We start from the raw sequence: 27,947 nt of genomic DNA on the forward strand, positions 1-27,947 counted from the left end.
GCTAAGTCTTATCTTCATAATTCCTGTCTTATTTTTATTTCAGCAAACTAGAAAGTTCTTTATGGTCGTGAAATTTAAGAGATTTTTTGTGGGCGAAGATTTCTGAACGAAGCATGTTCAAGGAAACTTTCTGGGAGACCAGAGGCCATTTGATAACATTTTAAAGAAACTGATCCAGGGATATCAGTTTTGCCACTTTCCTTCAAGTAACAGATACAAGTTCTTACTTAGGCTGTTGTCAAATGTGAAAGTTTTTTCCCCCCACCCCCTTTGCACTGATGTCATTTTTTATTTATCTAGCTAGGAACAAGTTTAGAAGCCTTTAACAATAATTTTAGAAATTATACCTGCTGACTGAGCACTTATGGAACATCAGGGCTAGGCAACTTCCATGTATATCACATTGATTTTTACCAAATAACCTTGAAGGAAAGATATCTTATTACAGATGAGGAAATTGGGGCTCCAAGAGGTAAAATAAGTTATTTGTAGTTGATGGATATCAAGCAGGACAGCTAGCTTTTGAAATAAATATGACAGAAAGTTTTATTATTTGTACTTTTATTTTGTTTTGTTTTTTTTTTTTTTTTGAGACAGGATCTTGCTCTGTCGCCCATGCTGGAGTGCAGTGGTGGGATCATAGCTCACTGCATCCTTTATCTTCCAGGCTTGATCAAGTGATCCTCCCATCTCAGCCTCTCAAGTAACTTGGACTACAGGCACATGCCCACATGCCCGGCTGATTTTTTGTTGTTGTTTTTAGTAAAGATGAGGTCTTGCCATGTTGCCCAGGCTGGTCTCAAACTCCTCAGCGCAAACAATCCTCCTGCCATGGCCTTCCAAAGTGCTGGGATTACAGGCATGGGCCACTGTGCCCAGCCTATTATCTGTATTTTTAATTTAACATAGTTTATTTTTAAAATACATGTTTTCATCAGATACAGGAGTCTCTGCTAAACTGTCTTTATCTGAATAATTCAAGTGCAAGGGAATTATCGTACAATCTATTCTGTGTGTCTTATTACTGATTGTCAAAAAGTTCTTTTTTATTTGAACCAGAAGGGTACTGACTTTTAAATTCCTCCAGTCTCTCCACTCCATCCTCTGGAAGAACACTTAACAAATAGATCTGTGTCTGTTGTTTATCCCAAAAATGAGGACAGTTGTGTCGTTGTTATTATCATTTAGCCTAAATTTTAGTATAAACAGGTCTTAAATAATTTCTTCTTCTGTGACATGATTTCCAGATCCTTTCAGTACTGTGGTCATTATTACAACAACATAACAATAAAAGCTCATATTTACGCATTTATTGAAAAATTTGCTATCACTTCATTATGATGGTTCTCCCATGGGTTGAATTGAACACGGGATTTCTCATTCTACAATGAGAACACAGACACTTCAGTACCTTCTTGACTTAAATAACTGCTTAGACATTCTAGACTCTGTGGTCCTGGACAGTACCCAGAATGAAATCTTTAGGGACATGTTTACCTCGTATGTTTCCTATTCTGTAAAATATCCGCCATCACAATCACTCACACTTCTATGTCCTTTGAACTTCAGAACAACTCCATGAGGTAGGTGGCAGTATTGTTATTAGCAATGTTCAGAAAGGCCACGGATCCCAGCTAGTAGGTAATTAAGCTGGCTTTTAAAACAGTTGTGAAATTTATCAAATATATGGAGACGTGTAAAACATACATATAAATAAATATATTAAAATGAACATCTTAACTTACTACCCAGCTAAAGAAATGAAGCATTACCAAACTTAGAAGGCCCTTGTATGACCTTCCAAAGAGAATATCTTCCTCTCTCCCTCTCAGAGGTAGCCTTATCCTAATTTTTTGTTAGCAATTCCCTTGCATTTTTTTGTTTTGATTTGTTTTATATGTACTTATCCCCAAATTAATTTTGTGTTTGGCTATTTTTGTTCTTTATATAAATTTTAAGCATATGTTTATATTCACATATCTTGCTAGTTTCACTCAGCTTCATATTCATTAGAAGCACCCATGTTGACATCTGTAATTAAGGGTCATTTATTTCCATTTCTGTGGTATTCCATTATATGCAATTTATGTATCCATTTTATAGCTGACATTGTTTGGGCTGTTTCTAATTTTGTTGTTGTTTTGTTTTTTAAGAGACAGGTTCTCGCTCTGTTGCCCAGGCTGGAGTGCAGTGGCACGATCATTGCCCATTGCAGCCTCAAACTCCTGAGCTCAAGCAATCCTCCTGCCTCAGCCTCCCGAGTAGTTGGGACTACATGTACACCACTAAATCTGGCTAATTTTTAAAATTTTATTCTAATGTTTTGATTTTTGTTCATACCTCCGTACATAGTACAGAAGGAATAATTCCCTTAATTGCAGGAATTTTATTATCCTTGGCCTCCTGCCAACTTAATGATGGTAGAACTGTGTGTTGTATGTGTGTCTCCACACACCACTGCCCTAAATAGTGGGGCAGGTGACACTATTCAGCTCAGGTGGAGAATCACTTCTCTAGAGTAGAAGTGCTGGGTGTCAGTGTTCAACATGACTGAATAATGCCAGACTGCTTCCACAGTGGCTGTCATGGGTCACTTGCTTATCTGCATCTCCTTTAATATCTGATATTGTCTGATTTTTAATCCTTTGCCAAATGTGGGGTGTCTGAAATGGTATCAGGCGAGTTTCATTTGCCTCGCTCTGATTACTAATGAAGTTGAAACACCTTTTTGCATGCTTATAGTAAATTTTTGTGGTTTTGTTTTGTCAAATATCTATGAATGCTCCTTGTCCAGTTTTTTAGTTGTTTATTTTAGAAGTTTAAAAATGCTGTATATGTTCTAGATCAGTGCTGTCCAAAGAGAACTTTCTGAGATGATGATGTTCCATATTAGGGCAAGTAGAGTAGCTACCAGCCATGTATGACTACCGAGTAACTGAAATGTGTCTAGAGCTACTGATAATTAAATTTTAAATAAAATAGCTACATGTGGCTGGTAGTTACCATATTAGGTTGCTGTGCAGATTTATGATTCGTAAATAAGTCCTTTTAGTTTTTGCCTTCCTTGTCTTTTCATCTCATTTTATTGTTTTTATGTTTTGTTTGGTTTTGAGATAGGGTTTTGCTCTGTCACTCCAGTTTGAGTGCTTGGTGCAATCACAGCTCACTACAGCCTCCACCTTTGGGGCTCAAGCATTCCTCCCGCTTCAGCCTCCCAAATAGCTGGGACCACAGGCAGGCACCACCATGCCCAGTTCATTTTTGTATTTTTTGTGGAGACAGGGTTTCTCCACGTTGCCCAGGCTGGTCTTGAACTCCTGAGCTCAAGCAATCCACCATCCTTGCCCTCCCCAAAGTACTGCGATTACAGGCATGAGCCACTGCAGCTGGCCTCATTTTATCTTTTAAAGAATTAACGTTTTAATTTTAACTCAGTTTTTTAAAAAATCGATCTTTAGACATAAAGATATTCTCCTATACTGCCTTCTAAAACTTCTGCCTCTCTCACTTAAGACTTCTTTTTGTTTGTTTGTTTGTTTTGAGATGGAGTCTTGCTCTGTCACCCAGGCTGGAGTGCAGTGGCACGATCTCAGCTCACTGCAACCTCCGCCTCCTGGGTTCAAGGGATTCTTCTGCCCTTAGCCTCCCGAGGAGCCGGGACTACAGGAGTCCACCACCATGCCCGGGTAATTTTTGTAGTTTTAGTAGAGATGGGGTTTTGCCATGTTGACTGGTCTGATCTTGAACTCCTGACCTCAGGTGATCTGTCCGCCTCAGTCTCCCAAAGTCCTGGGATTACAGGCATGAGCCACCCCGCCTGGCCTCATTTAAGTATTTTATCCACCTGGAATTGATTTTGGTGTTGGATGTGAAGTAGGTATCCAATTTCCTTTTCTTTAGTAGATATCCAATTTCCTTTTCTTCCCCCATATGTGTTTTCAAATATTCTATCTCTGTCAAACAATCTGTACTTTCTTCATTTGTTTTCAGTGTGTTTTCTGTCATTAGTTGAGTTTTTGTGTATGTATGAATTTGATTTGGTTCCATTAGTCTATTTATCTATCCTTGTGCCAGTACCACATTATCTTAGTGACTAGTTTTATAACAAGTTTTGAAATCTGGTTGGGTAATACCACTCCCTGCATTTAGATTCCTTGGTTTCCCATCTTCAAACCCTGAGGTTTATCTCCTATCCCTGGTGCTCTGTGCTGTCATTAAAGTAAAAGGTCAAGGTCTCCAGATTATGCCCACATTCTCAGGAAGAAAGCAGGGTGTGACATGGGCTTACCTCCTAGATTTCCTGCTTTCACTTTGTTTGAGGACTCAGTCTTCCTAACAGCAATTCACCAGTTTCCCCACTTCTTAATAGTTATAAGAACAATTGTAACCGCTTATAGGATTTGTTTGATAAAGTAAAAATAGGTTAGTTATTCAAAGCAGATTATTGACCTGTGTGCTTTTAGCTCACAACCTTTAGGTGAAAGGGAACCGTTTCTTTATGCTTGGTTTTGTATATTTTGTATTATCTAGAATTCTGGCTTGCATTTTCTATCCATTATTTCTCCTTTGGGTTAATGAAAATTAGATGCCCATGGGTTCTTGCCCTCCCTCTTTACTAATCAAATCTTGTTGAGAGTTGGATCTTTCTTGTGCATACTATCTAACTTGGCAGGAAATCTAACATGTTGTTAATGTCCTCTGGTTAGGGGAGCAAAGGAATTAACACTAATAAAAAACATTTTGTGATTTTTTACTCTTGGGTATACAGTTTTACTTGCTTTTACTCATTTCTTTTAAACTAACCTTCAGAGAGTGTGGGTCTAAATTGTCTAACAATGTGTTTTAAATCCTTAATTAGTTCACTATATGTAGTTTTGCTGCCAAAGAAACTATGGCAACAGCCTTGGAAAAATTAAAATTCCACGCACACATTCTTGTGTGGAACACCTCTCATAGACTTCATTTTTTAATACTTTAAGAAATTGGCAAGGCGGGTGGATCATGAGGTCAGGAGATCGAGACCATCCTGGCTAACACGGTGAAACCCCCGTCTCTACTAAAAATACAAAAAATTAGCCGGGCGTGGTGGCGGGCGCCTGTAGTCCCAGCTACTTGGGAGGCTGAGGCAGGAGAATGGCGCGTGAGCCCGGGAGGCGGAGCTTGCAGTGAGCTGAGATCACACCACTGCACTCCAGCCTGGGCAACAGAGCAAGACTCCATCTCGAAAAAAAAAAAAAAATTAAGTTGTGTGTTTGCTTAAGGGTATTATATAAAGTTGAACTTGAATCAAGAAAAATAAATTTCTGAGCAAATGCCTCAGAAAGTAGCAAAATATGGTCTGCAAAACACAAAGAAGAAACAAAAGGAGAAGGAGCTTCTTGGGGGGCTTGATTGGATCATTAAATGGATCAGAGCCACCTTGGACTTGTTTCAAGAGTTTACTCTTAACTTTTTCTCAAATGCTCTAGTAATTATTTATATTAATAATTTACTCAATGAAATTGCAAACATATTTTCATAGTGTTTCAGAAACTGTTGAATTGATGGCAGTGATGGTTTTAGAGGATTTCAGAATTCCTTTGAAATGGGTCAGAGAGAACTGAGAGAACTCCTTATACAGGAGACGTACCTGACATCTGGTCAAGGGCATTCCTCTAGCAGCTCTCCCTGCTCTTCTGCGGTTTTTGATCTGTTTTGGATCATATCCATCACCACGTAAACACATTTCACCTATATTAAACAAACAAAAGACCCTTTTCTTGACCCCACTTTCCTTTCCAACTGCTGTCTAATTTCTTTGTTTCCCTTTGAGTCACAACCCATCAAAAGAGGTGTCCACACTCATTAGATCCAGTTCTGCCATTTTCTTTTTCTTTTTCTCTTTTTAAAAAATTATTATTATTATTATTATTATTTATTTTAACAGAGTCTCTCCCAGTCACCCAGCCTGGAGTGCAATGCAGCGATCTCGGCTAACTGCAACCTCCGCTTCCTGGGTTCAAGCAGTTCTTCTGCCTCAGCCTCTCGAGCAGCTGGGATTACAGGCATGTGCCTCCACGCCCAGCTAATTTTTGTATTTTTAGTAGAGACAGGGTTTCACCATGTTGGCCAGGCTTTTCTCGAACTCCTGACCTTGTGATCCACCCACCTCGGCCTCCCAAAGTGCTGGGATTACAGGCATGAGCCACCACACCAGGCCCTCTGCCATTTTCTCTTAAGCCTACTTCAGTCCTACCCATCCCACAAATCTACTCTCTTTAAGATCACCAAGGACCACTACTTTGCTAATTCCTCATTTACTTAACTAACATTAGTGTTGAACAGTTGATCCTTTTCATCTTCCTTGATAAATCTTCCTAACTTGGGTCTTTGGAATAGCACGCTTGCCTCCTTGCCTTTCCAGGCACATTCCTTTGCACAAGGTGCTGTTCAGACGAAGATCCCCATGGGCCCTCACCTCCTTCAAGTCTGTTCTCCCATGTCACCTTCTCAATGAGGTGAGCACCATTTTCAAAGCTGCAGCCCACCTTGCTTCCATGCTCCTGATTTTCCTTTTCCTTGTTCCATATTTCCTTTTTTCCCCTATCACTTATCACTTTTTGGATTTAGATACTGACTTGATAAAACCAGTTTGGCTATGAAAATTCTGGAAGACAAGCTAAGCAATAACCATCCTGGACATTGGAACAGGCAAAGATTTCACGACAAAGACACCAAGAGCAATTTCAACAAAAGCAAAAATTGACAAACGGGATCTAATTGAAGGTAAGAGCCTCTGCACAGCGAAAGAAGCTATCAACAGAGTAAATAGGCAACCTACAGAAAGGGAGAAAATTTTTGCAAACTATACATCTGACAAAGGTGTAACATCTAGCATCTATAAGGAACTTAAACAAATTTACAAGAGAAAAACAACCCCATTAAAAAGTGGGCAAAGAACGTGAACAGACACTTCTCAAAAGAAGACATACATCTTCCCAACAAGCATATGAAGAAAAGCTCAATATCACTGATCATTAGAGAAATGCAAATCAGAACCACAATGAGATACCATCTCACACCAGTCAGAATGGCTATCATCAAAAAAGCCAAAAATTAACAGATGCTGGCGAGGTTGCAGAGAAAAGGGAACACTAATACACTGTTGGTGGGAGTGTAAATTAGTTCAACCATTGTGGAAAGCAGTATGGCGATTCCTCGAAGAGCTAAAAATGGAACTATCATTTGATCCAGCAATCCCATTATTGGGTATATACCCAGAGGAATATAAGCATTCTACTCTAAAGACACATGTGTGCGAATGTTCATTGCCACACTGTTCACGATAGCAAAGACTTGGAATCAACCTAAATGCCCATCAATGACAAACTGGATAAAGAAATTGTGGTATATATGTACACTATGGAATATTATGCAACCATAAAACAAGATCATGTCTTTTGCAGGAACATGGATGGAGCTGAAGGCTATTACCCTTAGCAAACTAATGCAGAAACAGCAAACCAAATACTGTATGTTCTCACTTATAAGTAAGTGGGAGCTAAATGATGAGAACTCATGAACACAAAGAAGGAAACAACAGACACTGGGGTTTACTTGACAGGAGAGGATAGGAGGAGGGAGAGGAGCAGAAAAGATGACTACTGGGTACTGAGCTTAATACCTGGGTGATAAAATAATATGTACAACAAACCCCCATGACATGTGTTTCTCTATGAACAAACCTTCACATGTACACCCAAACCTAAAATTAAAAAAACAAAATAAACAAACAAACCAAAAAAACAAGTTTGGAAGTATTCCTTCCTCCTTTACTTTCTGAAGGAAAGGTGTTATTTCTTCCTGCAGTGTTTGATAGAATTCAGGAGAGCACCATCTGGACCTGATATTTTCTCTGCGAGCAGGTTTTTGAGCATCCAGTTTCTTTAATAGATATAGATAGAGTTTCTTATTTTGTTTTTGCTGCTGTCCTTTTGTTTTTGTTTCCTTGTTTTTTAGATCTTCTGTATCCTAGTATGTCAATTTTGGTAAGTTGATATTTTAAAAAAGAAATTTGCTATTTTCATCTAAGCTGTCAAATTTGTTGGCATAAAGGTGTTTGTAATAATCTGTATCTTTTTAATATCTATCAGCAAGAAGAAGAGCAATAGAGCCAAGTCAATAAAACCAAATGCTGGCTAGTTCTTTGAAAAGATCAATAAAATGGATCAACTTCTAGCTAGACAGACAAAATCAGAGATAGAATGAATGGTAAAATATTAGTGATGACTTATTTTTTCAAAAAATGAATTTGGCTTCCTTAATTTTCTCTTGTTTTCTATTACACAGATTTATGTTCTTTATTATTTCCTTCCTTGTACTTTAGGTTTTGTTCTTTTTCTAGTGTTTTAGGTTGGAACATTAGATCACTGATTTTTTTACCTTTTTTTCAAATGGATGCATTTAAAGCTATAAACGTTTCTCTTAGTACACTTTATATACCTCAAAGTTTGACATGATGTATTTCTATCATCATTCAGTTTTACATATTTTCTGATTTCTCTTGTGATTTTTAAATTTTGACCCATGGATTTTTAAGTATTTTGTTCAATTTTCAAAACGTTGTGGTCTTTAGATATCTTATTGTTATTGATTTCTAATTTAATTCCATTATGGTCAGAGAACATACTGTTTGATTTCAATCCTTTTTAATTAATTGAGACCTGGGTTTTATGGCTCTACATATGATCAGTCTTGGTGGATATACCAAGTGAACTTGTAAAGAACATGTGTTCTGCAGTTTTTAGGTGTTCTTTATGTATTAAGGTGGTTGATAATGTTGTTCACATCATTTGTGTATGGGCTGATTTTTATTTTGTTTGATTTTTATTTTCTATCATTTGTTGAAAGGGATGTTAAAATCTTCAACTGTAATGGTGAAATAGTATTGTTTCCATTTAATTCTGTTCATTTTTGCCTGATATGTCTTTATATACACATTTAAGATTATGTCTTCCTGATGAGTTGTGAATTAGAACATTATGAAATGTTATTCTCCAGTAATATTATTCTCTCCTTAAAGTCTATTTTACTCAATATTGATATAGCAACTCCATCCTTTATATACTTACTGTTTACATGGTGTGCCTTTTCAGAAGCATTTACTTTCAATTATAGATAGCATATAGATGAGACTTGTTTTTTTTTAAATCTATTCTGAAAATTTCTGATTTTATTATTAGGAATATTTAGGGGAAATGTTTAATAAATTAATATTTTGGGTTTTTTTTCTGTTTTTTTTTTCATTAGCTCCTCCTTCCCAACCCACTTTTGAATTTTATCTGTTAATATTCTATCAACTTCACACAAAATCTAAAACCCTTGCAACTTACAGGTTCATTTCTCTAACGCTATTCTTTATGCTAGTTATCATATCTATTACATCTGCGTATATTACAAACTGCACAAGAAAATGTTATAGCTTTTGCTCTAAATTGCCATATTTAATGAAGTTAAAAGAAAAAATATTGTATATTCTCACATAATTACTATATTTCTTATGCTCTTTGTTTCTTTCTAAAGATAACAGCTGATATTGAATCTGAAGTTCCTTTAATATTTCTTGTAGTGAAGATACCCTAGTGACAAATCCTCTTAGTTTTTTATTATTTCTTGTATACAGAAAATGTTTCTTGGCTACATGCAGTAGCTCACACTCGTAATCCCAGCACTTTGAGAAGCTGAGATGGGAGGATCGCTTGAGCCCAGGAGTTCAAGACCAGCCCAGGCAACATAGGGAGACACCCATTGTCTACAATTTTTTTCTTTTTAATTAGCTAGGAGTGGTGGCACATGCCTGTAGTCCCAGCTATTCAGGAGGCTGAGGTGGGACGATTGGTTGAGCCAAGGAGGTTGAGGCTACAGTGAACTGTGATGATGCCGCTGCACTCCAGTCTGGGGAACAGAGCAAGACACTGTCTCCAAAAAAAAAAAAAAAAAGTTTCTATTTTGCCTTTTTTCTTAAAAGATATTTTTGCTTTAGATAGAATTCTGAATTGACAGTTTGTTTTTTGAACACTTTAAAAATGTTCCACTGTCTGCTGGACTCTGTAGTTTCTGATGATAAATCAGTGAAAGTTTTTGTTACCCTGTATGCAATGTTTTTTGTTTATTCATTTAATTATTCTGGCTGCGCTCAAGATTTTTCTCTGCTTCCGTTTTCAGCAATTTGACTATGATTATGCCTCCCTAGACATAATGGTTTAAATATTGATTCTGCTTGGTGTTTGTTGAGCTTTTGGAATCTGTAAATTTGTGTCTTTCATCAAATTTGGGGACTTTGGGACCATGATTTTTTCAAATATATTTTCTGTCTCATTATTTGCTCTCCTTGTAGGTCTCTGATTACAGGTATGCTAGATCTTTTGATATTTTACTACAAATCCCTGAGACAGTGTCTTTTTCTTCTCTTTTTAAATTTTTTTTCTCTTGGATAAAGATAAAGATGGTTTATTCTTATGCTGCAGAATTTCCTTTTTTTTTTTTTTTTTTTGAGACAGAGTCTTGCTCTGCCACCAGGCTGGAGTGCAGTGGCATGATCTCAGCTCACTGCAACCTCCGCCTCCCAGGTTCAAGCAATTTCCCTGCCTCAGCCTCCCAAGTAGCTGGGATTACAGGCATGTGCCACCACACCTGGCTAATTTTTTTTTTTTTTTTTTTGTATTTTAGTAGAGATGGGGTTTCACCATGTTGACCAAGATGGTGTCGATCTCCTGACCTTGTGATCTGCCTGCCTTGGCCTCCCAAAGTGCTGGGATTACAGGAGTGAGCCACTGTGCCTGGCCCTATTTGTTTCTTTTTAATAATTCTGTTTCTGTACTGAAATTTCTCATTTTATTCAAGCGTATTATCTTTGCATTCTTGAGCATAGTTATAATAGCTGCTTTAACATTTCGTCTGCTCATTTTAACATCTAAAAATGGTTTGAGGTTTATCTCTGTTGACTGTCTTTTTTCTTGAGAATTGGTCACACTGCTTTTTTCTTCATATATCAAAAAGTTTTGGTTGTATCCTGGTATTGTGGAAAAATCTGGATTCTGTTATATTCTTGTGAGGAGTGTTTGTTTGTTTTAGCAGGCAATTAACTTGACTGGAATCAAACTGCTAATCTATTTTTTAGACAACTGCTCAAAACTCAGCTCAGTTTATCTTTAGATAGAGTTTGCCCTGCACACATACAGTTCAGGGATTTAAGAATTTTTCTGCCCCACCCCCACCCAGTACTCTAGTATTTAAAATATATTCTGACAGACAGTTTTTTGGAGTATTTTTCTGAGTTGTTATTTGATAATGAGAATTTTACAGGAAAGGTTTAAAATTTGATGTTTTATTTCTCCAAATATCTGCTGGGACATTGTAAAGGAGAAGCAGTTTGGTTTTATAAGAAAATGATACTTAGCAGGTATTAATACTCCAAATAATTATTTTACTCAAGTATACACTCAAGGCTCTAGACATGAAGAATTGGAAAAGGTCAAAGCAATGAACTAGAATTCACCTGAAAGCAAGATATACTTCCAGATGTAGACCTTGCATGAAATTCTATCCTTTTGTTCATATGAGAATAAAGATGCCTGGTAGCAGAACAACTTACATGTGGCCTACAAACACAGAATAGCTCTTTCTTTAAAGAAATTTTGAATTGAGGGTGAACCTTAAAGAGACAGCACTTTATGTGCCCCGATGTGAATCATCAGTCCTAACTAAGGTGATGTTTTAGAATTTTGGAGCTGGTATACTCAGATACCATGGAGACAAGGCCAAAGGGGTTAGGAAACTTTTCTCTAGTCTTTTTTGGACAGCCTCAGTAAGGGTAGTGTGGGATACAGAATCAAAGAGCCTCATCTTTTGAGATGGAAAACTCAAGGTCCAAGCAAGACTCTGTCATTTACTGTTTGATTTGTAACAGGTATTTAGCCTTTCAGTGTCTACATCAATTTTATCTATAAAATGTAGATAAAAGTTGTTTAAAAGATTAGGTGGTTGCCTACTCTGTAGTAGGCATTCAGTATTTTGTGTTCTGCTTCCAGATTACAAAAGGGTGATATAATGTCAATATAAGGATACCAAAAGAATTCATGAAATGTCACCCCAAAATATTACTTTGAACTGAGGGTACTTGGGGAACAGCAGGTGCAAGTAGAGGCTTTCTCTGAGCACCACTTGCATGCAGAGCCTTTTCTCTGAGCTCCTCTTATCTGTCTAAAGACGGATCCTCCGAAAGGAACTCAATTGTCATGAATCCCCTCCCTGGGAATTTTATCAACCAGGGAAGATTAACTTGGATCACAGGAGGGGAGACTAGAGGTTGACCCTATGCCCAGACTATCACCTCTTCTAAGGGCTGCTCAGAAACAACTTTTATTACCGACTTTTTATCTGTATAACAAGACAACCTTTATTCCCCGTGCATTTCTTCCCCTCACCCTCCCATAACTTGTGTCGCCACCCCCTTCCCCAGAAGCCCCAAGCCCTGATGCCTTTCTGTAACTTGGGATGCTGTATCAGCATCAATCATCTGACCCTTCTTTGAGGCTCCTATTTTGTGAGACTCCTGTGCATACTTATGTAATTAAATATTTACATAAGTCTTTCTCCTGTCTTATGTCAGTTTAATTTGTAACCCAGCCAAGGAACCTGGAAGGGTAGTGGGATGCCATTTTCTCTCCCCTGCAGTGTGCTACAGAGAAGATTGCTATTCTTAATTTGTTATTTAATCCTCTTGGGTAAGGCCTAGAAGGAAAAATCTGTAAATCTGTAAACTTTAAAAGGGGAATTTTCAAGAGAAAATGTTCACAGAAGGCCCTGGAAGGAGCTAGTAGAAGCTTTTAATAGAAGCAAAACTAATTGAGAAGTGTGAGACTGGACATTATATTAGCTTTGCATTTGTATTACTTTTGTATTTCTACTCCCAAACACTTTCCACTATAAGAAAGCTTGAGTGTGTTCTTGAATTGTGTACTGAGCCACAGGAAGAAAAGGGACAATGGTTAGACAAGAGCGGGTACAGAAGAGTTGAGCACTAGGCAGGTATTTAATACATATTTGTTGAATAATGACTGGAGATACTCTGGCACCTCAATATTCATATTTCCAGGATCTGGATTTGTTTCGGGTTGCCTTGCCAAGTGTAATCTAGTATGGTGGTAGCCTGAGGGCTCTCATTTTGTTTACAATTTACCTACTGAAGTATTTTAAAGGCTCAGACTTGTCCAGGCTGCAGGAATCTGGAAGGTGGGGTGGATGAATTCCGTTCTTTCTTTGTCCCCAATTTTTCCCTCATCTGTACCCAGGGAATTTGTTCAGGTTGGGTCCTGGTTTAGTTCACCCTCTTACCCAGATCCACACTTGGCTCTGTGTTGATTGTGCTTGCTAAATGTTCATTGAATGAATGAATGGAAGGCACTAAATCTGTAGGAAGGCAAAAGAAAGGTTGAGAGGTATTGATGCCACCCAGATGGAGAATTTACAATGAATCAAGCAAGGACCAGAGTAAACAGGGGGCTGTTCTGTCCAACCAGAGCCCTGGCAGGTTTACCTGGTTTAGTGTTTATGTTTCCTTGATTGGAAATCAATCTCTGTCCGTCTTAGCTCTTACTGTTGTTGGTCTGACTCTACAGAAAAGAAGCTAATTTTTATCATCTTAGAAACCCTCTTCCTGAGCCTCTTATCAAATCATTGTATTCCCTGTGAATAAAAGAGGCTGGTGGTCTGTCATTTCTGAAAGAGAGCCTGAGAGGAGACATAATTGTTCTAATATTTATGTTTCTTTATCAGTTTTCTTTGTGCTTCTACACATATTTTCTCATTTTATCCTCTTAATGACATAAGAAGAGCAGGTATTATTATCCTATTTTCCATAGGAGTAAACTATTTCAGAGAGGTAATAAGTATAAATTGTTCAAGACCTCAGAAATGAATGTGGCAGTGACCAGATGTTTAATCCAAGTTTAGTGTTTTCTTTATTTATATTGTACTGGCCGTGATAATAATCAGCATTACGTATTGAATGTATGATTAATTAAGCACTATGATTAAATCTTTTCTCACATAACTTGGCTGGTTCCCTTGCTAGTTCCCTTACATCCTTTTATTCTTGGCTGAAATGATACCTCTCAGGGAGGGCTTCCTTGACCACTCATTTATAAATTTTATTAATTGCATCTCTCTTTAGTTTTTACCCCCTTCTCTATTTTATCTCCTTACAGTTTATCATGTAGGACATAGGTATGTATTTATGTTTTTCATTGTGTATCTTTCCCTAATAGAATAGAAGCTCCGTGAGGGCGTGGATTTTTGTCTGTTCCATGTCTTGATGTGCCCCCAGCACTATTAAAACTTTGTCCATGTAGTATATGGCAGGTGCTCAGTAAAAATTTGCTGCATGAATTAATAATCCTCAAAAACAACTCTTCCAGATTTACTGACAAGAAAAATTATGCACAAAGAAATTCCCTTTCCAGGGTCACCCAAGTAGGGGGTTAGAGAACTGATTTGAAATTCAAGTGTATTTAGATTCAGTGCTCCACTGTATGTTTTCAATTCCCCCCCCCCCACAAGGTATGGGGGAAGTACTGCCTGTCTTACCACAGAATGGAAGGGGCTAGACTCTGTCCTCCTCACTCCTTCCCCTAGCAATTCCTCTTATTTGTTTGGTATATTGAAGGTTAGTATGAGGCTTTTTTTTTTTAATGGTCTTTCGTTTTCCCCCAGCAATTCATCTTATTTGTTTGGAATGAGGCTTTTTTTTAAATGGTCTATCACTTTTTTTTTTTTAAAGGGAAGATTTACAAACAATTATACTACAGCAATAATTATGCAAAGCTGAATCTGAATTTCTTTTTAAAACATGCAACAATATTGTAATTGGGATGCTCTTTAAAGTTTGGAAGAGGCAAGAAAAAAATAAATATTATTAGAGCTAATAGATAATATATTCACATATATGTTAGAGCTTTTAGCTCTAATAATATTTAGAATTAAATATTATTAGGGGTATGTATATGTTTATTGCAGAGAGTAAATGGTATGTGTTGCCTCCTCTAAAAGCCAAAATTAGGTTTCTTGTGGAAGTTAAACTCCTGAGTATAGGGACCATGACAGAATAGTTCACACTGTAGTGCTCTGTAGATACTGGGGAATGAGTGGATAAACTAGATTATGATCTCTTTGAGGGAGAGATTCTAAGCATACCTCTAGTAAGTGGTAGGCAGGTGATGAACTCAGCACACATTTGTTGAGTACTTATTCTATACTTGGCATTGTAGGAAGAGAAACAAAGAGCTTATCCCAAGGACGTTGTTAAATTGCAGGAGCATTTGTTCATGCATTTGATATTTCTTGCTAATCTCTTGAGGGTGATGCCCTGATGGACTGTGGATCTCATCTAGTGTGGCATTACCTTCATTTCTGTTCAAATTATGTATGTGTCCCTAGAATCCTAACAAATGCCAGACGGTTGCAAGAATTAGTACACATATAAATCGTGTTGCATTTTGGAAAAGATTTTATTTATTCAACATGATAGTTTGTATTCATTTAACAAACACTGCTTCACATAAGTCATCCCATTAAATTTGTGCCACAACCCTCTGATACAAATACAGTTCTTCGCCTCATTTTGAGGAAATCGAGACTCAGAGACATTAAGTAATTTCCTAGAATCATGGTTGAATTAGGTGATAGGATTGGGATTTTAGCCAAAGTGGTCTAACTCTAAAACCCATGTTCTTAACCATGTTCTAAAAACATATGCTGTGTTGTTTTTCATACTTTTTCTGCTGCAAATTCATCTGTACGTTTTCAATTTTTAAAATGAAGGTGGTTTATTTTCTCTTGAGAGTCTTACATCAGCTGATATAAGATAAATAATATGTCTAAACAATGTAAGTACTATGATGAAAACTTAGCTGCTAAATGAGGAAAAGCAAGTTTAAATGCTCAGTTGTCAGGGGTAAAACAATGGTGGAGGGTGCCTTCTGTGCTGTTAGCGACGAGCTTTTAGCTCTCATAAATCACAAGGATATAACTGGAGCCTTAGGAGGAAGCGCGTTATATTACTAATGGATCATCCTGCAGGAACATAAACAAGACATAAAAATAAGTGAAGTCCTTGATGACTCTTTTGTCTTTCTTCCCAATTCATCATTATTCCATTATTAACATAACCTTAAGACAGTTGGTTATAATTTGTATCCTCATGGAATTTCTGTTGGGCTATTGGGGTTTTGTTTTGTTTTGTTTTGTTTTAAAGTAAGTACCTCCTAAATAAGAACTTTTAGCTAATTGAGTGAGTGAAAAACTGCAGCTGTTGGACCAGTTTGTGGGATGAAAGCGTAACATTGTTACGCTTTCTCCCTTTCTGTCACACGGGAGAAGCTGATAACAACTTGGCATTCTTAGTGTAGAACTGTGGTTGGTAAGCTTCTGTTAGTATGGTTTCCCTGGAGGATATAGCAACCCTTAGATACCTCTCAGAACTCCCGGATCTCTCTTCCCATATGAAGCCTGGACAATAGTCAGGATGCTTGGAGTACTGTTCAGCTAGGAAAAAACGAGATGGGCACAGAGAGAGGAAGCCACCTGATAGCTCCCCATCTCCCCACCCCCCATTTGGGATTTGGAGCCATCTTGTTTCTATTTTAAGGAAAACATACATGTAACCTCTGTTCTGTATTCTTATATATATATTTGCAAGTTAAAATATATGTGAATGCATGCATGAAAGCTTAAATTTCTGTACTAAATATAGACCCATTGACTTCAGGGGTATGTATAGTACATTAGTCAATGTATGTGCCTGGTGTTGAGGTAAGCTGAGATAATCCTGCTTACATACACTCATGCACACACCCTGTGTATGCACATGTTTTATGTATTGTATTAACCATGTACACACAAAAGCAATATATATCTATTGTTTACAGTTATTAATTGTACTCCAGGCACATATTTACTCTTTGTATGTACAGTTTTTTGGTTTTTTTGTTTGTTTGTTTGTTTTGAGATGGAGTTTCACTCTTCTTGCCCAAGCTGGAGTGCAATGGCGTGATCTCATCTCACCACAACCTCCGCCTCCTGGATTCAAACGATTTTCCTGCCTCAGCCTCCCGAGTAGCTGGGATTACAGGCATGCGCCACCACACCCGGCTAATTTTTTATTTTTAGTAGAGATGGGGTCTCTCCATGTTGGTCATGCTGGTCTCGAACTCCCGACATCAGGTGATCCACCCACCTCAGCCTCCCGAAGTGCTGGGATTACAGGCATGAGCCACCACGCCCAGCCTTATGCACAGTATTTTTATATTTGTAAAAATAGAAATACAAATAAAAAAATAAACACACACAAATATACAAATTTAAAAATATACACCTATGCCATCTATAGAAAATAGAATATTTAAATCTCTCACCATCACTGCCACCACCACACACATTTAAGTCTTGGAAATTCTGGTTACAGGTTTTTTTTAGTGGTAGTGTTGTTTGAGCAAAACCACAGATTAGTCCATTTCCTCATTCCCTTGATTCTCATAGTTTGTGTTCCCACTCTAAGGAAACAAATGAAGGGACTGGTACTGCTTCTTTAGGGGGAATGGGTGTTGCAGGCAGGCCCAGCTGGAGAGGAGCAGCGGGGGCCTTGCGGCAGGGCAGGAAGAGACATGTAAGCTCCCACTCTGGTGTGCCTCTCTCTGTGTTCCAGCTGAAGGAAACACACTGGGTGTTACGTAAGCAGCCATTAGTTTAGTTTTATAAAAGTCAGCTTTTCACATAGCTCTGCGATCTATGTATGTGCAGATGTCTTCTTTCAGTGAAGCAGACCCTTGAAAAAAACATGGATCTGGGCTTTTTACTCAAATAGTCAAACTTCATTTAACTAGAAGGGAATAGACTGAGTCCAAGTCCTCATTTTAAAGGCCAGCAAGCCTGTATCATGAGAAATGAACATTCCACTAAAAATGGAAACAAGTAAGCCCATTTTACATGCATTTCCAATATCTCAAGGTTGAATCGTATTTGGAAATGCTGCTAAGGGAACAGCCAAGACTTCTCCAGCCCTCTCCCTACCCCAGCCCTACCTGACTCCATCCTCCACCTAAAATGGCCGCACCCACTGAAAAATAAAATAACCTCAAATTATCTGTACTGGCAGAATGAGTAAACATAAACTCATCTGAGAACATATTATAAAACCTGGCGAGCAACTCAAGAACAGGGACCACTCATCCCTAACATATCCCATGGTGCAATAGGAAATATTTTGGTAATGATGTGAAGGAATTAATTACTGCTCATATCAGGAACCCCTGAATTCAGTAAATGCTTTGAAAATCTGGACCCATGAAATAACATGTGGTGTGGTAAAACTGGAAACCTGCCAAGAACTATAGCTTTATTTTAATATTAAAAGACTCTGGGGAGGTAGGGATCATGTTGAAATAGCTGTTCATGGGCATTCACACTGGGTGTCACTTAAGCAGCCATTAGTTTAGTCCTTTTACATGCTGCGGAGTCATGAGGAAGTGTCACTGTCACATCCGCTGACATGCATGTCAGGCCTACCATGGCACCAGCCTCTAAAGGAAGGTGTTAGCGGTGAATCCTGCAGCCAAACAGCCAATAGAAAGCAGGCATGCCCCAGTTCTTCTGTTTGCAGTTCGCCCTGTCATCAGATAGGGGATGAGAAGACCTTCCTAAATCCACCTGTGACTTAGAGAGTGATATTAGATGCAGCTTGGCAAGGGAACACACAGAATAGTTCAGAGAAGGATATAATAAAATTGTTGCGGTTCAGGCAAATATCCTCATTCCTCTGGTTGGAAACCCATACGGGAAACATTTCTTTTTGTTGTTGTTTCTAGCAAGTCTTAATAGCAGGCAATGTACTTTCCAGCAGCACCCAACATTTGCACCTCACTAAGTTGTGGGGGGCGGGCGGGGGTGAGGGTGCTGTTACTGTTGGCTTAAAAAATTTTTTTTCCCAATGATATTAAAAAAAAACTTGTACCTCTGGATCAACACTTACAGCTATATGCCTGCATTGTAAAGACCCCAAAATCTCAAGAGTTGCTTTGCCACTGCTAAAGTATCTTGAAACTGAAGCCTAGAAAGGCCTTTTCTCTATTGAGTGATATTAGCGCATTACAACTGGCTTCATTGTTCAAAGGTAGGACCAGAAGAGAAAGTGCTCCTGCCTCCTAATGCCACGTCATACTCAAGACTCAGGTAATGTGGATACTCAAGGCCAGTCTTTAACAATTGAAGAAATCAAACATTCATAAGATGCTTCCTTTTGTACTGTTTTTCTTTCCTTAGTTTTAAAAGGAATTTACTTTGTACAAATTTGTTACTCTAAATATAGAACTCCACTGCACATGAGGCTGTGTCTTGCAATTATCTTTTTAAATGAGGCACTAGGAGGGAGAGACCTTGCAATTACTGTAATTGAGCTCATAGTATCAATGAAATCTTAAAATGGCACAATGATATATTTCATTCAAAAGGCATGCTAAGTTAATATTATTTTAAAAGGGGAAATAGAAACATCTAGATTTTTAAAAATTTTAGAGAAGGTCATTGTGTCTCAAGATTGTCATCCCAGGACTTGGATTCAGTAAGTACTTGGCCAGTGTGAGGGTAAGGAAGTGCTTAGTGGTAACAGATACTTGTTTCCTTGCCAGTGTCATCTTTCCACTCCACTGCTGAGCTAATTGACGCTTGCTGGCAAATGTTTGATCGATATTCTCTCAAAGAAGCCCTTGAAGAACCCTAACATGCTGTGGTCAGTTATCCTCTAACGGGAGGCTAGGTCAGGTTTCGTCCTTCATTTATGCAGCAAACATTTTTCTGAGTTTCTGCATAGTGTGCCAGGCTCTGGCCCAGGTCACAAGGTTGGTTTGTGACAAGATATTATTTGCATTGGGTCTGGAGAAGAGAGTCTGGGCTCTGTGAAATTTCAGGTTCCCAGAGCCTTTCTGACCTATCCATCCCCATTGTCTAGCGGCCTCCCTTTTATTTGAAATGCGTCTATGTTACACTTAGTGTTTATAAGTTATGCACAGATATTTGTTCTTCAAGTAAGAGTTTTATGTAGGAAGTGACTGGGTTTGCTTTTCTTTTCTACAGTTGAGTGTAGAAAGCCTGGTCTTTCACAGGCCACCAGAGAATTCCCAAGTTCACGAACCCATAGTATTTTCCCCTTTCCCTCGTGATTAATATTCTACACAAAAAGTTGTGACGTAAAATGTTGGAGATTATTCTGTGGCTCCTGCTCTCTCCTCTTCCCAATTCTCAGCTTCTCGATTTTTTTTCTAAGGTCAAGAATAGGTGGAACTTCTTTTTCCTTGTGAAGGAATAGACGGTAAACTTTCAAGGCCTGGGCTTATTTCAGATGTAAAAGAATCTCGGGTCAGGGGCTCCTGTTACAGAGTGAAGTGAGGAGAAGTGGGTTGAAGCCTGCCTTTCCCTTTGTTTCTTTTGTTATGATCTGGTTGTTAAGGGTAGAGTGGGGTGAAAAACAGGGCAAGAGTCCATTGAGCCCTTGAGTTGATAACCTTGGCTTTTGGGAGGCTTGGGTGTGTATTGCAGTGACTCTCCTGCAATACCCAACACAAACTGTTATCCAAACCAACCCCATTATAACCTTTAAAGCAAATGTTCATTTTGCATGAAGAAAGAAGCTAAGCTGCTGGTCTCAACTGTTTCCCAGGGCTCAGCCTCCCCCTGTTCTCTGGCATGTCAGCACTTGCCTCCTGTTTTTTCCATTGTACTCCTCCCAGCTCAGCACAGGGGCCCCACCTCTCGCAGGATCAGGGTATGTGACCCTGGAGCCCAGACAGCCTTGCACATAAATCTTTCTGGTCCACCTGCAGATCGTCTGTCAGCAGCTGCCCTGTTTCTCTGTTGGATGGGCTATTCCCTCACATCTGTCAGACTACCCTGAAGTCTCCACAGGCCAGTGGAAATTCAGACTGGCCCTACTGCATCTCCAGGTCTTCATCTATCTTGTCCTGTATCGTTTCCTGCCATGCCCAGGCTCTGTCCTACTGAGTAATTTCATGAGGCCCAAACTAGTGGTGATGAGCAGCCATATCATGACAGCGGCCAGTTGCTATCAGTATACCTTTCTGAACAGGTGCTCTTTTGGGGGCAAGTATGGACTGAATGTTTGTGTCTTCCCCAAATTCATATGCTGAAGCCCTAACCCCCAATGTGATGGTATTTGGAGGTGGGGCCTTTGGGAAGTAATTAGGGTTAGATGAGGCCGTGAGGGTGGAGCCCCCATGATGGAATTTAAGCTTTTGTAAGAAGAGACAGAAACACTAGAGTACTCTATATAAGACGAGGAAGAGACAGACACTCTGTCTGCCATGTGTGGATACCAGAAGGTTGCCATCTGCAAGCTAGGAAGGAGGGCCCTCACCACACACTGAATCTGCTGTCATCTTGATCTTTGACTTCCCACTTTACAGAACTATGAGAAATAAATATTTGTTGTTTATGCCACTGTATAGTATTTGTAGAATAGTTGGAGCTAAGACAGCAAGACTTGCTTTAGAGCAGCTGATATTACCTAGGAAGCAGATCAAGATAGGGAACTGGAGAGGCCCTGAAGCTTCTGATTGGCTTGAACCAGATATGAGTAATAGTCATAGGTTATCTGCCTTTGTCTACACTCAGAGGAAGATCTTTCCAATATGGCAAATAATGGTATATTGTGTGGGGGCATGTGACATTAACATCTTTAAGTCTCTTCTATGTGCCAGGCAACAAATAAAAATGCACAGTGCAGTGGTTCAAGAGGATGAATGTGATCTAATTATTCTGTTTATTAGCTTTGTGACCTTGGGCAAGTCAGTCCATTGGAATCACCTGTAAAAATAGCATAGGGTGATTACCAAGGGCTGTTGTGAAGATTAAAAGGCATCAGGTAAAGTCACATGTCACACAGTGCCCTAAACATAATCAGCAATCAATTAGTTCTAATTATTGTTGTGTTATTGGTTTGTTGGGATAAACAGGGTCTTCAAATGAGGTAAGAACAAGAACAGTGTGAAGCAGAAAGTGAGTGGAACAAATGGTGAGTCCTAGGAAATTCTGGAAAAGGACAGAGAAGGCTTCAAAGAGGTTGAAATTGGGCTGGAACCAGAAGGAATGAGTAGAATTTAGATAATTTGATCTGGGAGAGTTCACATTTTTCTTCAATTTGAGGGAGCTTGTTAGCAGAAAGAGAATTGAGCTAGAGATTAGAAGAAAAGGTCTTTTTGTTTTCTACCTTTACTCAGCACGAGCTTGGGCAAACCACTGAGCCTCGATTTCCTTGATTGTAAAACTGGGACAGAGAGAATATCTGCTCCGCCTAGCTCCCAGGGTTGTTATAAGGCACAAATGAGACACTTCAGGTAAAAATGCTTTGAAAATGGTGAAATGCAACAACACAAGAGTAAGGTCATTATTAGAGTCTTAAAAGAGGATCCCAGAAAAAGTCTGAGCTGCCCGAGACTGTAATTACCTATCCTGTATGACACAGTGCTTTAGAAGAGTCACTGACAGCTGTAGTAAGGTCATGGCCTACTGCTGACACATCTATCCTGACTGTGTTGACTACTCACCCTTCTCCACGTACAGAGAATGTTCTTTGGATTCTCCATTTGTACCCAGCCATTGTTAAGTTCCTCAAACAATAATAACCATTACAATAATAGTAATAGTAAACAGCCACTACCATTTATTTGGCGCTTATAATACATTGGATACTCTGCTAAGTACTTTACAAACTTTATCCCACTTAGTTCTCAAGCAACATCACAAAGCAGCTATTATTATATCCAATTTAGAGGTAATTAAGTTGAGGCTTAGAAAAATAACTTGCCTCGTCTCCTTCAGCTAGTAAATGACAGCTGAATTTAACTGAAACTTCTTTGACTACAGCCCTCTGTGCCATTTTGCTTTTAATCTAAGAAAAAATGCTTTCCCCCACAAGACCTTGTGCCAGATTTCCCATGTAGAATTAACCATATGGATGAGTTAAATGAATAAAATGGTTAGTTAACATTCAGTTTATTACTTATAGCTTTATCCTTTTACTTCTAGCTCTGTTGTTAGAAAATTTAGACCCCACAATATTTCCCCAGTTACTACTACCTTTCTAGGCCAGAGACTGTCCACTATGATAGTAAGAATAATCCCTTGTATTTGTCCTAGCCTTTGTATATTCACTGTGTTTCATTTGAACATCACAATAAGTCCTTTAAGGGATATCATTTCTGTTTTACTCATGAGGAACTGATGCTAAGGGAAGTCAAGGAATTTGCCCAAATTCCCAGCTAATAAGCGAGAGAGCTCTATGTCTGTCTGAACCATTATGACTATTACTAATAGAAAGAATAGCAGAGAGTGAGAGCATTTCTTATATCCTGTATATGATGTGCAACATGAAACAATGAGAATATTTTCTACGAAGAACTTCAGAATGCAGTGGTGTGAGGTTCAGAGATGTTAAATATTTGTGCTTAAAATTATTTTTATGTCACATACATTCAAATAACTAAACTCTGAAACTTACTAGAAAACAAAATGCAAGGTTTATTCTTTAGTGGTAAGGCTAGAGTTGAAGGAAATAAGGATCAACTATTAAATTCTTACCATGGCACAAAGGTTTTTGAATGTCAAATGTTAAACTTTTCTAGGTTCAATAGGAATTTTGCTATGAATCTTCAGTCCCCTAGGATATATTTCCTGTCTGTGCCTGTCAGCTTCATTGTTACGTATTTTAAATAAAGCTTTCCCTAACATTCAAAACTCCTTCCGGCCCTTCCTTTTAGGAAGCAGACATAAATAAAGTACCCACTATGCCTTTGCATTTTTGTTTTCTTTTACCTTTTTCTAACTATGTGCCCACCCCACCCCCAATCTTCTGAAGTATAAAGCTAAGGTAAAAAGAGCTTTTAAAAAAGGGCTCTGGGGAAGTATGCAAATGACAGAAATGTCTATGGGAAAATTAAGGGAAAAGAAATTCAGCAAGAAAGAAATTCATTGATGTTGTGATGAAACGTTGTCACTGGAGATAATGACAAATTAGAATCCGTTCCCATGGGGACCGCACGCTACCTACTGATCATTTGACCCGTGGCTGGATGTTGGCTAGCCTAAGAATTGACCCAAAAGATGACAAGATGGTTTTAGTCCTGTTGTCTCATCCGTATTCAGGAACCCCTTAGGGGATGAAGGGGAAAGGATAAAGAAGGATAAAAGATGAAAGCTGAGCTGTGGAAAGAAAAATGTTTTTAATTACACTGAGGAGGATTGTGGGTCCACCTGTAGCTTTCTGTTGAGAATGTCTTTGTTTTCTTCTGTCTGCAGGGATCATGGCAGGATACAGACCCAGAATCTGTCTGGCTTTTTGGAAGGGTCTACATTGGCCCTTCGGTCCTCTTCAGTTTATTGGATACATTCAGGATTAACCTCTCTGTGGGCTGTCTTTACTCTGAGGTTCTGTTATGCTTGCTGAGCAGCCTGGGTTTGGTTGGCGTGCTAACAGAGATTCCTTTTAGAGGGAAGAAAAAAAAAAAAAGACGCGATAGTGGAGCACAAGATGAGGTTTCCATAGTGTGTCACCATCACATTCCTCGTCAGAAGCACACAGGGAGCTCCTCTCAGGCAGTGAGGTGGAGGGAGGCAAGAGCACCCCCAGTAGTCAAGAGACTTGTATGCTCCATATGCCTCAGTTTCTTCACTTGTAAACTGGGCATCACAGTGTTCTCTTACTATCCTATAATGGTACATAGTCAAGGTGAAATTCTTTAGGAAAATACTGAATTCTGAAGAAAAGGAACAATACTAGCACTCTGTTCTCTTGCCAGGTGGCAAACCAACAAAAACCCCTTGAGTAATTTGAACAATTTAAAATAGTTTAATGTAATTTATTCCATGGTACTCAGGTAATATTAGGTTTTGGTGGGTTTGTTTGTTTGTTTTTTTTTTTTAGAATTCTTTATAACAAATTTGATCATATCCCCACCTCTTTCTTGGGAGGTGGGGATGGGGTATCATAGGGTGGAGTGCAGTGGCACGATCAAGGCTCACTGCAGCCGCAACATCCTGGGCTCAGGTGATCCTCCCGCCTCAGCCCTCTGGGTAGCTGGGACTACAGATGCACACCAATATTCTTGGCTAATTTTTTGTATTTTTTGGAAGAGACAGTGTCCCGCTATGTTGCCCAGACTGGTCTTGAACTCTTGGGCTCAAGTGATCCACCTGCCTCAGCCTCCCAAAGTGTTGGGATTACAGGTGTGAGCCCCTGCTCCTGGCCCCTTTTTTATATTTGTGGTAAAATTTAATAATTCTAAACTTCTTCAAAGTACTTGATTTTCATAGGAATTTTGAAGAATATTATTAGAAATCATATTAATTTTTAAAAATCTAATTCTTATTATAAAGTAATGAGACTGTGCATAGCTTATGGTATCCTGCCAAGCATTTCACAACATTTGTTAAAATTGATTTGAAAAGAAATGTGGGGAGAGGGTTGATCTCCATATTACAAAGAGAAGCAATGTTGAGTAAAGGTTGAAGGTTTGGGCTCTGAAGTCAGAATATGGGTTTGAATCCCAGCCCTACCACTTACTAGCTTTGTAACCTTGAGCAAATTACCCCTTAGTGTCTACTTCTGGAAAATGGAAGTGTGCACCTAATAGGGTCCTTTAAAGGATTAAGTTGGTATATGCATGTGAGAGGCCTAAAATTGTGACTTGTACATAGTTGGCACTCAGCAGATGTTGGCATTTTTCTTAGTAAGGCAAGATAGAATGTTGCTACATGAAAGACTGGGGAATTTCTGACTGACAGCTGTGAATCCAAGTAGACAGAGCATGGATTTGACACCTTTTGTGAAGTGCCATAGGTGTTTGGACTCTGTATTCTTGGTACTTTCTGTCTCTATTGATGAAGAATGCAGCTGAAGGCCCACCCTAACCAGGAAGGCAAAGGCAGACATTCTACCCCGATCCCCCAGTAAAACACACCTCTGCCAGGGCTGCTCTCCCATCAACCAGTCACCCTGCAATCCCAAGGAAGATTCAGTTCCACAGCCAGCCCAGAGTTGAGGACCTTTTAACATTCTGCTCTTTGCCTTGTTTGATTATGTTAACAGAAATTCTCAGCCTGTGTGATTTGTCATATTTTAATATTTCAAGCCACCATTGCAGCTTCTTTTAGGTTTGGTTTGTCTGAGGCACCGCAGCGAGTGCATGAGCACACAGACTTTGAATTTGTATAAGTGAATGGCTCTTCCACTTACTTTGTGGCTTTGGGCTCATCACTTAACTCATTGATATAAAATGAGAATACCCACACTGTAAGGTCCTGGTAGCTATTAAAATTTTCTGAAGAACCCTGAAATCTCTTTGCAACAGATTTACAACTCACAGGGTACAATCTTGATAATTTTGATGATTTAGATGCAGTGCCTACATTTAGGAGCTTTGTTTCACCTGCTTCAATATGTATATCCTAGGATGGAATTCAGCTGATCCTGCATTTTCCAGTTTTCTGTTGTTGCATAACAAACCACCCAAAACTTAGTGGCATAAACAAACATGCTTACAAATTCTGTGGGTCAGGATTTTGACCAGGCACAGCAAGGATGGCTTATCTCTGCTTCATGATGTCCATGGCTTCATCAAGGGGCTACTCTGGGGGCTGAAATTATCTGGAAGTTTCTTGGTTCATGCCACAACTTGGGCTGGGATGACTTGGAAGACATGCTAAGCTGGGGAGCTGCCAACTAAGCACTGACTGTGGCCTCTCCATGTGTCTTGGACTTCTTACAGCTGCGTAGCTGACAGCTACCAAGAGTAAGCGTTCCAAGAGACAGGCATGTCCTTTTATGACCTAGCTTTAGGAGTCACGTAGTATCACTTTCTCTGTACTCCACTAGTAGAAGCCATCATAAGCCTACCCAGATTTAAGCAGTGGGGACAGGGGGACATGTAGACCCCACCTGCCAAAGGGTAGACCTGTTAAAGAATTTGTAGGAAATTTCTATAAAACCACTACACTAGGATTATGGCACCACACTGGGATTATGTTTCCATCTGGGGATAAATTAGGGCCGCTGGCTTCTACCTATAGCAAAGCAGGCCATACAGACTCTTGCAGCTACTTAATCTGCCATTGTAAAATGAAAGCAGCCGTAAACAATATGTAAACAAATGATCATGTTCCAATAAATATTAACAGTAAAATTAGAATTTCATGTAACTACTAAATATTAAAAATATTCTCCTTTAAAAAACATTTAAAAGTGTAAGAATCATTCTTAGCTCATGGCCTATGTAGAAAGAGGCAGTGGACCAGATTGGAATATCTTGAGTTTAGCTAGATCTGACTCTTCAAAGTTAGAATCCTCCAAATGTGTAGAAGAAACCCTTGGGTATTTCTCAAGTGGAATTAAGAGTGTGTGTGTGAGAGAGAAGGACATATGACTACAAATTTTGTTTTTATTTTAAAGTGAATTTGTGAAGATATTTCAAAATTTAGTTCTTTTAATTACATCTTATGTTCATTATGTTACAAAACATTTATTCCCAAGGGCAATAAAGGACTATGCACTTAATACTCCTATGTGGGAAATTAATGATATTTACTTTATCAGAAGTCAGGACCTACAAAGAAAAGGTAGAACTTGCTTCTTGATGGAGCTTCCAGAAATACATATTGTTGTATATTTTAAAAATAAGTATGTTTTAAAAGAGTTGATTATTAGAACAGAAGATAAGGTTGATGACTCTCAGGAATGAATTTTTAAAATCTTTATCACTTCATTAAATATTTTTTCTATGTCTATAATGCCAGGCAGTGTGCTAGAGCCTGAAGATACAGTGGTGAACAAAAACATATATCGTATGTTA

The 27,947-nt window shown here is 38.8% G+C and overlaps 1 protein-coding gene and 1 long non-coding RNA gene across 6 annotated transcripts in view, besides 1 other annotated feature; both read left to right on the forward strand.

The window, feature by feature from the left end:
• The window catches only part of CACHD1 (cache domain containing 1), a 222,925-nt gene that overhangs the window by 81,769 nt on the left and 113,209 nt on the right, over nucleotides 1-27,947 (forward strand). The gene's annotated exons all lie outside the window — the stretch shown is intronic.
• On the forward strand, nucleotides 857-27,947 carry LOC124904195 (uncharacterized). The gene is made up of 2 exons (XR_007066150.1): nucleotides 857-6,497; nucleotides 6,610-27,947. It is a non-coding gene; the product is annotated as an uncharacterized LOC124904195 (long non-coding RNA).
• Nucleotides 20,267-20,972: an enhancer, noted in NCBI's record as "NANOG-H3K27ac-H3K4me1 hESC enhancer chr1:65037847-65038552 (GRCh37/hg19 assembly coordinates)". NCBI's record gives its function as "activates a minimal SCP1, AML or CMV promoter by ChIP-STARR-seq in primed H9 embryonic stem cells {active_cell/tissue: H9 hESC(primed)}" and the evidence as "EXISTENCE:reporter gene assay evidence [ECO:0000049][PMID:30033119]".

Source organism: Homo sapiens, chromosome 1, assembly GCF_000001405.40.
Source record: "Homo sapiens chromosome 1, GRCh38.p14 Primary Assembly".
Classification (NCBI taxonomy): domain Eukaryota; kingdom Metazoa; phylum Chordata; class Mammalia; order Primates; family Hominidae; genus Homo; species Homo sapiens.